Source organism: Homo sapiens, chromosome 1, assembly GCF_000001405.40.
Source record: "Homo sapiens chromosome 1, GRCh38.p14 Primary Assembly".
In the NCBI taxonomy this organism is placed as follows: domain Eukaryota; kingdom Metazoa; phylum Chordata; class Mammalia; order Primates; family Hominidae; genus Homo; species Homo sapiens.
Window position 1 is genome coordinate 158,713,805 of NC_000001.11, and position 11,817 is coordinate 158,725,621.

Sequence of the window (11,817 nt, forward strand, 5' to 3'; positions counted from 1 at the left end):
TTCTGTAATGTCTTTTATTATCACTAACTTTGCCATCACAAACTAATTTATTTCATGTATTAATAGTAAAAGTTCTCTATGATTTCATCATATATTTAAAATTATTTTTGTGACTCTTGCTTAGAGTGATTAATGGCTAAAGATTTGGTATTATTAACAGAACATTTTCATTTTAAAAATTACATTAGCCTGTGTCCAAAGGTGCATCATGTACCTGAAAATGCACTTTTCCATTTCCATGTAGTTTTCATACACACACACACACACACACACACACACACACACAAATCTCCAAATGACAAATGCTAAATACACACACAAACACACACATATATGTACAAAGCATTTGGGAAGGTGTTTAGGGGATATAAATACCCTCAAAACAAGCAAAAAGAATATATAGACATTAAAACCTGATTGGTCACTTCTTTCCAAAATCATGTTTTCAACTGATCACGAAAAAGAGTTGTAGATCTTAATCTCCTGATGAAAATGTCTCAAGAGTTTTATGCAATATAGAATGTATCATGTTTTAACATTTTTCAAACTAATGTTTGCTGGTTAGAAATATAGTATGTTGTGCACATGAATTCTCCTTGGTTTTCTCCTTTTGGTTTGATTTACAATCTTTTAAAGAATGCAGATATAACGGATTTACCTTTTTATAGATTATTGGGATTTTCAGGAGCAAGTTACCCTTGAGTTTATCTTCTAATCATATGTTGAGAGGTTAGAGCATGAAGTAAGCAAACACCTCTCTGGCTCATAAATATGCTTTTGAGAGGAGAAAGCACAAATTGCTACACCCTACCTCTTTTGGGGTTCTGTTTAAAGAACTAAACTAATGAGTACATCCCTAAGGTCACTATAAATGTTGATGGCTTTTATTCAGATATATACCAATATCACCTCCAAAACTATATTTTTAATTAGGCTAATTTTCTGTTTGCTAATTCTTATAGAAGAACTATTCTGGTTGAATTATATAAGACATTGTGAATACCTCCTGTAAATCTTTTAGTCACAGAAGGGGAAGAAACAAGTTTCTTCTTCCTCTCTCCCTCCCCCTTTCTCTCTCTCTCTCTCTCTCTCTCTGGGCTAAATTGTTTGGCTACTATGCATGCAGGTACTTGTGAGGACAGTTCCTAAAGGTGTCCACTGGGGTAAAAGTTGCCCTCTATGGTCTCTCTATGGATTCTCCAGCACCCCTGGTCCATCCTCTTCTTCAACTCACGTTGCTGGAAACCTGGGAATGATAATACAGCAAGTTCAAATTCCCATGAGAAAATAATATGTTTCCTGAGGAGGCCACCATTAAGCCATGAAATGCAACCTTTAGTCAAGTACAAGTCTTTTGGTGTAAGTTTTTGTTTTCTTTATTTATAATTAGTATGAACCATGTTTAAAATGATTGGGAAGGAAACAGGTTAAAATGTCATATGGGATTGAAAGACCATCTCCCCTTTCTTAGCTGCTTTTAACAGCAGTATTTTAATTTTAATGGTTTCCTTGTTAGATTAGAGCTCTAATTCATTTAGAAAAATGTATATAGTCAAAGTATATGATGAAGAATCACCAATGTGCATTTTTTTCTCTGTTGGCTATGGGAACCTAAACCAGAACTATTGAAGTTAGGGTAGCCCAGCTTTACATAGCATGTGATCCACCAGGTGAAGACCAGGGAACAAATATTTAGGTAAGCAACTTTCTCACCTAACATGCTAGAAATATTTCAGATATTCATAAATTTCACCTCCCCATCCCTACCTTTCAATTGTTCTCAGTTTGGAATTTCCAACACCTACTGAAAAGATTACTTCAAATTTTCTACTAAATAGGCCCTTCCCTTGCCTCTATTGTATTCCTTTGAATTTTATTTTATCTGCACTATGTCTTCAGGAAACCATTTGGATTTTGTCTATTGAAGTCACTCTTTTCTGTTTGTCAGGATTTATATAGGTTTTTAGGGGTTTTTTTTAGGGGAAGTAATGTGATACATGTTGGAAAGGGTAGTTTTATGTTTTCTCTGTGTTCACATGTTGATATGACCACTGCTGGACCACTCAATAAAAAATGAGAATCATTATTATCTTTTCTAGGTTTAAAGCCTTTAAGAAGTTTATATGATCTAGGGTTTGGTCATTTTATTGGATTCGTTAAAGAAGAAAATTAAAACATGAGATAAAATCACTATCTTCATTTCAAAATTTTACTGTATTTTTTAAAGATAATTATAATAATTGTGCATAAATAATTATAGAAAATGAAATTAAGGCAATGTTAGTAAATATGGAAAGAAGAGGAAAGTTTTTAAATTTATTAGTCAAAAAGCTAAATGAATCATCTGTGTTTTTGACACTACCATTTAGTGAATACACCAAATATTTTTTACTGTAAATAAAGAAAGTGAAGATGTTTAACCTTGGAAAAGGCAAACAATAACTAAAATTGATATTTGTGGAAACCAAAGTATATTACTGTAAATAGTATCTTATCTTGTAGTTTTCTTTTAAACATGTGTGGCAGTACTAATAATCTAATCTTACTAAACATGTAATTATTCTAATGAATAGGTAACTACATAACTAAAAATAAAGATATAACTTAATTAAATGTTGTTTGGGCTTTTTCTTAGATCTCTATTTCTGGAAAACCCCAATGAGGTAATCCATGACTCATAATTAAACAAAAAAACTTTTCTAAGATGTGTTACCTAAATAGACACATACTACCACAGAGCACATTGTCAGCTTCTGAAGCTCAAGCTCTGTAGTTCTAACCCTCTAAAGTGGCAAACAAATTTTCTTTAACCACAGCATTTCAGAAGAAAGAAACTACAGTTATTCAGCCACATAATAAGGTTCCTCATGATATGCACAGCAACTTTTATAACGATGACACAGAGAGTATAAATATTTTTCTAGGTATAGGGAAAATAATTAGGATGACAGAAATTTCAGTGTGACAAAGCACTAGGTATAGAGTAATCTCATGTTCTAATATGTTAGACAAACATTAAAGCAATGGAAAGGGCCAGATGCGGTGGCTCACAGCTGTAATCCCAGCATTTTGGGAGGCAGAGGAGTTTGGATCACCTAAGGTCAGGAGTTCAAGACCAGCCTGACCAACACAGTGAAACCCCATCTCCACTAAAAATACAAAAATTAGCTGGGTGTGGTGGTGCATGCCTGTAATCGCGGCTACTAGGGAGGCTGAGGCAGGAGAATTGTTCAAAACCAGGAGGTGGAGGTTGCAGTGAGCCAAGATCATGCCATTGCACTCCAGCCCAGGCAACAAGAGTGAAACTCCATCTCAAAAAACAAAACAAAACAAAAGCAACGGAAGGGAACCTGTGGCTCTGTATTAACCTCCAGGCTTGTTCAACACTTTTTGAAGACAGAACAGTTTTTTAATCGCATTGTTCATGTCCTTGTTTCTCAGGCTATAAATGATGGGATTGAAGAATGGAGCAAGTACAGTAAACATCAGTGCAATGGCTGTGTCCAAAACTGGTGGATAAGTGTCGCTGAAACGCAAGTACATGAGTGATACACTGCCAAAGAATATCGGGAAGACCATGAGGTGGCCTGCACAGGTAGAAAAAGCCTTTTGCCTCCCTTCAGAAGAGGGAATCCTCAATATCACAGTGACAATTCTTACATAGGACAGGGCAATGATTAGGAAGGTAATGATGATGGTCACAGCATGAATCACATCCTCAATCAGAATCATGGACGTGTCTGTACAGGCCAGGCTTAGCACAGGGACCAAGTCACAGAAGATCTGATGGATTTGGTTGGGCCCACAGAAAGGCAGTGTGGAAATCATCACAATCTCGGGAAGCAGGATAAGGAAACCGAAGAGGCAGGAACCTGCAGAGAGTTGAGCACAGAGCCGGGGGGTCATGATCATTTGATAGCGAAGAGGGTTGCAGATGGCAACGTATCTGTCAATGGCCATGGTGGTCAGCAAGATCCCCTCTGAGTTTTCAAGTGAGTGGAAGAAATACATCTGCAAGATGCAGCCAGTCATTGAGATGGCCTTCTTTTCACTGATGAGGTTGGAGAGCATCTTGGGAATGGTGGCTGTGGTGTACCAGATCTCCAGAAAGGAAAATATACTGATAAAATTATACATGGGGTTGTGGAGATGGGTGTCCAGCCTTACAGCAGAGAAGATTAATAAGTTATCAATGATAATAAAAGTATAGATGAAAAGTAAAGGAAAGAAGTACAGGAGACTACCATCCTGAAGCTGAGGGAATCCAGTGAAGATAAATTCAGTCACTGTTGATTGGTTTCCGCTCTCCATATTTCTAGTAGAGCTACCTGTAAATGGAGAGGGCATAGTCCAGCACATGAGAGGGTAGAGAAAAAAATAAATAAGATGTACAGCTAAACATCTTTGAGAAGTAAGAAGAACTACCTTGAAGGTTTCATTTTTTTTCCTGACTTTAAACTCATGTACATATTGTCCAATGTTTGATTTTTTTCATATCAAACATTTTTTTTTGTATCAAACATTGGACAATATGTACACTAGTTTAAAGTCAGAAAAAAAAATGAAACCTTCAAGGTAGTTCTTCTTATTCCTCAAAGTTGCTTAGCTGTACATCTTATTTATTGGCACAACTGCAGAAATAGGGGTCTCCAAATGTTTTAATAATAAAAAAACTAGTTAAAATTATTTTTATTTTAGCTTAATCTCTAATATAGGTATTTGCATTTATAAGTTATACACATTTACTATATTAAGGCATAATAACACAAAATTATATATCTGTATCTCATATAATAAATTTTAAAATTAAAAAGTATGAATACGAATAAACATAACAGAAGTTATATTATGCTCTTTCCCTACCCGACTGGGCCATTGTGCACATGCTCTTTGAAAATCTCTGTTCTAACGTGTTACAATGTAAACCTGAAGTTGACATTGAAATCCTGTCTATTGTTACCTATATGTCTTTTGGAAAATTACTTAATACCTCAGAGTATCAGGTAATCATTTGCAAAATGGGATTAAAAATAGTACCTATCTAACAAGGATGCTGTAGGATTTAGTAAATACTTGCAGAAAGATTTGGACAGTGTTTAATAGGCAACTTCTGGAAAGAGTGATACAATCTACCTCTCTGCATTTCTTGTTCTCCTTTAACACTGCTGTGTGCTTCCTCCCGAGCATTATGCTGATACTATACTGATCACGTTCATCAATGCCCTGCTAATTACTAATGGAAACTATCCAGTCATCTCTGGCACTCGACACTTTTCATTACTCCTGCTTGAGACTTTGTTCCTCTGTTTCCACGATTCCATTCTCAAGGGACGTGACGCCCAGATAGCTTTAAAGGCAGTTCTAGCTTTGACTTTTGCTTCTGTTTTATTTATTTTATTTATATTTTCTTTCTTATTCTGCCTCTTCTCTCTTATATTAGCTTGTGTTGTCTTTCTTAAATTCTTTCCCAAGAGTCTATTTTCCCCAGGTTCCTATCATCCACTTCAACCTCTTATAGTTTTATACACTCCCTTAGTGATCTCATCCGCTTACAGGATTTAAACTATTAATACTTCTAAATGTTTTTCTCTAACCAATCTCTCTTTCATAAGCTTCACACCAACTATCTGACTCTTAACTCTCTGTAGCTTCACCTGCTAACATTCTCCGACTCCTCTCTCCCCTGCAATCCCATTGTTCATGTTGCTTTCTAAAATCACAGTTCTCTCCTGTTTGTGCTACTTCCTCTGACTTTAAAGTAACATATCTCTCCCTCCTCTGCCCCCTCTCCTCACACAAAAGCAATATATACTGCTGGTTAAAAGTCTAGATGCCAGAAAAAAAATTGCTAGCATTTAAATTCTCTTTATGGCTTACCAGCTCTGTGACTTAACATGAAGTTACTTAGCTTCTCTATGCCTTTAATATCTCATTTGTAAAACTGAGAAAATATTAATACTGGTTAATGAAGTCCTGAGAATAACTAAACATTTTATAATAACAATAGAATTGTACAGTATAGTATACGGTATTATTACGTCACTAATGCTGGCACTATTCCAAGCACATTGTATATATTTTTCACCTCATGCTCTTAATGCTCTAATGAGGTGAAATGATTATCCCCATTTTACAGAGGAGAAAACTTAGGCACAGACAGGTTAAGTTCTTTGTCCAGAAATTCTCGGCTAATGCAGGGCAAAGTCAGAATTTAAATCTATGCACTGTATCTCTAGAGACACATTCTAACCTACATACAGTTGACTGCCTCTACCAATACATGTAAATGTATTTTAAAACCTTAGTGTTAGGAATATAGGAAACACTTGGAAGTGTTGAATGCCATTATGCTTTATTGAAGCGTTTGTCAGGATCCATCATCAACTTACTTGTTTTACCTTCTCTAGACTATAGGTTTCTCCTTCAGGACAGTGAATGTCTTTTATCCCTCATAGTGACTACAACAGGGTTAATATGTAGAGACGGTAGGTATCAAATAAATTAACTTGGAACTCAGCCACTTGGTACAATTATAACTAAGTGCACAAGACAGCCATGAGTAAGTGAACAAAGAAAATTGGGGACTGTTTGAAAAGGGAACTATGACAATTCAGTTCTAATGAGAGCCTCAATCAAGTCTTGACTAGATGATCTCTCAGAAAATGGCATTATAAATGTGGCATGCTGTTTCATATATACCCATGCCCAGAACCACACTGAACAGAGCTTCCTCCTGTAAATACCTTTGCCTTCCACCCTTATTCAAAGTTCTAAATTCTTTAATAATCAGGTCTTCAGGTTATGAGATGATGATGATGATGATGATTATGCATGGTGAATGAATTCGGTCTCTTTATGACTTAGTCATCTACACTCACCTTTGCCAAAAACACAGGGACTCCTCAGTCTGCCTGGGTCACTGCATCCTTAATATTACTTCAGCCTTTTCAAAAAGGGATTTATAGTCTCTCCATAGGGCATCCAGGGAATAACAGGAAAGGGAACTGGGCTCTGTGGAGGATTCTTCCCCTCCACTGCACTGAAGTGAATCACCTTCTCTCATGGGGTTAATTAACAGAAAGTTTCCCCTCTTACTCTCCTTTTGTTAGATTTTCAGATCGAAGTTGTCAATAAATATATATATTTTTCCTGATTGTACTCATCTTCCCAAATTTGTAAGCTTCCTTCTCTAGCACTTTCATGATTGTCTCAGCTGTTCTTGAGTGTACCAGTGTACTATGCAAAGGGTAGTTTTGACATGATCCTGGCCTTCTTATATGAACACACAGATTTGGAAAGCCTGGAAGGAATATACTGACACCAGAAGATCATCTTGAAAAGCTATTTTACAGAAAATAAGGCCATTTCATAATAAACATGGCACTGGGGATTTAGTGCCAATACTGAAGAAAGTGAGGAAACCATGTCTTTTTTTGTTTTTCTCATGTCGTGAGTGTGTATGGGTCTTTCCTACCTTGAACAACTCACACTGGTTCTGCTGACTTCTTTATTGAAGATCAATATCTCATCTTTTCTACAAGAGTATTATTTATATCTGTGCTTCATCCACTGATCTGTTGAAATTGCAAAGTTCTCATTTTTTTCAAAGTTAATTACTTTTATCATGTCATCTTCTTCTGGAAATATGTATCAAGTTCTCAAATAGGAAGACGTGCTTTCTGAGTTTTGTCTAACTTTTCTTCTTACGATTTGGGAGCCTATTTTGGTTGTCTAACTTGTAGGTTTTTTTTAATTCAAAAATGTCAACAGGCCACATTGTATTTCCAATGATTTTGTATAATATAAAACAGTCTGTTTTGATCCCATGACTCAAGTATTCTCAAGCTCAGAAATATTTTCCTTTAATTTTACTTATTATTTTCCTCTGTTTTGTTTTTTTTCTAGAATTTTCATAATCATATTTTGCTCTGTAATATCTATTAATACATTCTCCATATATAACTTTTTCTCTTTGCATGTAATATTTGGCTCTTCATGTGGCTTCTCTAAATTCTGGGACATATCTTCCAGGCAATCTTACAAAACATTAATTTAATTTCCTGTAGTATTTAATATATTCTTCAATATCTCCATTGTATATTAAATTTTGTATTTTTTATTTCTCAACTTTTTTTCTGATATCTTCACAAATCTCATCAAAATTTTAAATAGGAAACATTTTAATGATTTGTGTCTTAGAGTTAGTCTATGTAATGAAAGAGCATTTACTTTCAATTCCCTAACCTCTCTGTCTCTCTCAGTCTCTCTCTCTCTCTTTAACTGTAGTAATCCAACTACTTATTGGGCTATGCATTTGACAAAGTTAATGATTTTAATACAAACGGTGTATGGCAAAACTAAAATCATTGTTTTAAAGAAGGCAATCTGTGTTTGTCTGTGTGTGTGAGAGAGAAGGAGAGAATATATTTGGATACAAAAAATAAGAATATTAAATATCTAAATATGCACAGCAAATATGGAAATATCTGCCACGAAGTTCAGTATTAGTTATAGATTATTGCTTTGTGCTAAAAAGTTGTGCTTTTTTGTTTTGTTTTAGTAGCCTCAGTTTACCTGGATAGTTCCTCACTTCTCTGGCTTGTAAATTTAAGATTTACTTTTCATGTCCTTCTCTGAACACAGCTCAGTGGATAACTCCATTGTGACTGGGAAATTTCATACATTCTTTGGCTCCATTCTCTCTATCCAGATTTCCCAAGTAGAGCATCGTTCTCAATTTCTGTTTTTCCAAGCTTTAATTATTTTTTCCATCGGTTGTATGTGGAATTTCATCCAGTTAATTTCTAGGCTCTCCTCTTCTGTTTTCTTGTCCAACACCGGGCAGATAAGTATTTCCCTCAGTCGGATCTCATGTACTCATACCTGAGGAAGTGTTTTAACTTTGGAGGTCAATTGTGGGAACTCTTTTCCCCAGGATATATAATGCTTTGGTTTAACTTAATTTTGATTTTTGTTTTTTGCTGTTAAATTTTCAATATATATTTTTGTTCATTCCTGGACTATCCAATAAACAGAATCAACTGGTGCTTTTGATATAAACAGAAATTATTTTCTTTTCTAGAAAAAAGAAAGTGGTATATAATATTTCAGAGTACTGACATAGCTATCATGAAGGTTTTTAGGTAAACTTATAGATATTTTAATGTTCATTACTATATCTTTACACTTTTCAGTTCTTAGGTCATCTAACAGTTCATCTAGTCCTGACTCTTTTATTTCTATTGAGTTTTTTGTGGAAGAAAATTTAAATATGTGTGTTTAAACTGTTATCTTAATACACAAATCTAAACTTGAATTTTAGAAAATTAATTTCTAGTGGCAATGCATAGACATTTTAAAGGCAGCAAAAGTGAAAACAAGAGTAATGTAGTTCAAATGATATATATTTCTATTACCTATCTGTCTATCTATCTATCTATCTATCTATCTATCACTTTGGAATGTGCTGGAGACTACTTTTAACCAAATAATTTTATTCAACCAAATTGGATGAATTCAACCAAAGCAGTCTAAGTAAATGAAGTTTGAATTCAACTTGGCTCCAGATAAATAATAACAACAAATATACTATAAATAATAATCATAGCTAAGTATTCCTAAGCATGAGTTTTTGTTTTTAATATATCACTCTTTATTAAAGCATTCTCTAAAACATCAATAACAAAAGATAGTAATTAGTTGCAAATGATATTAACAGATAACACTTATTTTGCACAAGCTCTGTGTTTTGCACATTCTCTGCACTTGCATGGAGTAAGTCATTTAATATTCATATTAGCATTTGAAGTCCTACTTTTAAAATATATTACTTTTATACCAATAGATGATAAAACTAAGATGCAGACAAGTTAATTATCAACTTGTTCAAAGTCACAAAGCAATATGTGGCATCACTGAAATACAAACCTTAACCTCTTCTGCAGATCTGATTCTTTTAACTACTGTGGTTCGTAATTCATAGTTGTTATTAATGCTTATGTAATGTAATAAGCATTTACTTAAAATGTTTATATACAAATAATAAATTAATGTTCATAAAACATATTAATTATGTTTAATGGCTTAAACATCATATTTCCTTTCTATATTTTACCCACCTGTATAAGTCTAGACAGGTAGTCCATGCTATCTTAATTTGGCATGTGTAAGCAGGATATACATGTACATGGGAAGAACCAGTATAAAGAGACACAAAATATCCATGTGACAATGAATGAATTATATGTTAATTATATGGTTTATTGTGTTAGAGTAACATCCACAGTGAAAGGTGCCTATGAGCTAGCATTAATCTACAGATAAATTAACCATCTTCTGAGGGCAGAAAAGCTTTTTAATTGCAATCTTCATGTCCTTATTTCTAAAGCTATAGATGATAGGGTTGAAAAAGGGAGCAAGAACTGCAAACATCAGTGCAACAGCTGTGTCCAAAATCGGTGGGAAAGTGGCAGAGAAACGCAGGTACATGAGGGATACACTGCCATAGAACATCAGAAAGACACTAAGATGGGCGGCACAGGTAGAAAAGGCCTTCTGGCGGCCTTCAACAGAGGGAATCCTCAGGATTACAGTGATGATTCTGATATAAGAAAGGGCAATAATCAGGACAGAGAATACAATGGCCACAGCATGGATCACATCCTCAATCAGAATCATGGACGTGTCTGTACAGGCCAAGCGCAGCACAGGTTCAAAATCACAGAAGATCTGGTGGATTTGGTTGGGTCCACAGAAGGGCAGTGTGGAAATCCATGCAATCTCTGGGAGCAACACAAGAAAGCCAAAGATGCAGGACCCCACAGAGAGCTGAACACAGAGCCCGGGGGTCATGATGGTTGGGTAGCGGAGAGGGTTACAGATGGCAACGTACCTATCAATGGCCATGGTGGTCAACAAAATCCCCTCTGAATTTCCCAGTGAATGGAAGAAGTACATCTGCAAGAGGCAGCCAACCATGGAGATGGTCCTCTGCCTGCTGATGAGGATGGAGAGCATCTTGGGAATTGTGGCAGTTGTGTACCAGATCTCCAGAAATGAGAAAATGCTGATAAAATTATACATGGGGTTGTGGAGACGGGTATCCACCCTGACTGCAAAAAATACAATAAGATTCCCAATGACAATGAATATGTAGATAACAAACAATGGAATGAAGAAGAGGAGGCTACCATCTTCAAACTGTGGGAATCCAGAGAAGAGAAACTCTGTTACTTACTGTAGCAGTTTGGTTAATACTCACCATGGTCTCAGCAACCTTAACAGCTATGGATAGAAAGACACAGCTCATTTCCTAGAAGAAATTGACAAAGTCAGATGTGTTAGCTTATATAAAAGTCAAATGAAAAATATGCTTTAGGTGGATCATGTACTTCTCTTTATTTATGAATTAAACAGATATTCATTTAGTGCCTACTATGTACCAAACACAGCTGTGGGTTTGTTGAATTCAGCAGTAAGGAAAATAATCTCTACATTCATGAAGCTTACATTCAAAAGAAGGATACCAACAATAAGAAAATAAGATATTAAGAATGTCATATTTATAAACTATATAAACTAAAGTAAATGTATAAAGGTGTTAATAATCTTTTATAATAATTCCCCAAATTGTTTTGAATCATATACCATATAAATTTTCTAATGGTTCTTAGATGCAGATTAGACAAAACTTTTAGTTGTCTTTCTCTCTATATAATTATTGTAAAGTTGTATTCTCCATTTTCCTGAATATTTTTAGTTTTTAGTATTCTGCTCCTTTATCGCACCACAGAGTGACACTGAGTGTGGCTAGAAAAG

General features: G+C 35.0%; 1 protein-coding gene and 1 pseudogene across 2 annotated transcripts; both read right to left on the minus strand.

Moving 5' to 3' along the window:
• Window positions 2,523-11,316, minus strand: OR6K3 (olfactory receptor family 6 subfamily K member 3). Of its 2 annotated transcripts, XM_047420296.1 has the most exons (3): window positions 11,261-11,316; window positions 10,892-10,996; window positions 3,267-4,328 (listed from the first exon to the last, which is right to left on the minus strand). In XM_047420296.1, exon 3 carries the CDS (start codon window positions 4,309-4,311, stop codon window positions 3,364-3,366), a length of 948 nt encoding a protein of 315 aa, XP_047276252.1. In that variant the 5' UTR covers window positions 4,312-4,328; window positions 10,892-10,996; window positions 11,261-11,316; the 3' UTR covers window positions 3,267-3,363. The 2 variants fall into 2 exon arrangements, with proteins under 2 accessions (NP_001005327.2, XP_047276252.1); NM_001005327.3 differs by lacking the exons at window positions 10,892-10,996; window positions 11,261-11,316 and adding an exon at window positions 6,879-6,916 and having other exon boundaries at window positions 2,523-4,328.
• OR6K4P (olfactory receptor family 6 subfamily K member 4 pseudogene) lies at window positions 10,309-11,263 on the minus strand (annotated as a pseudogene).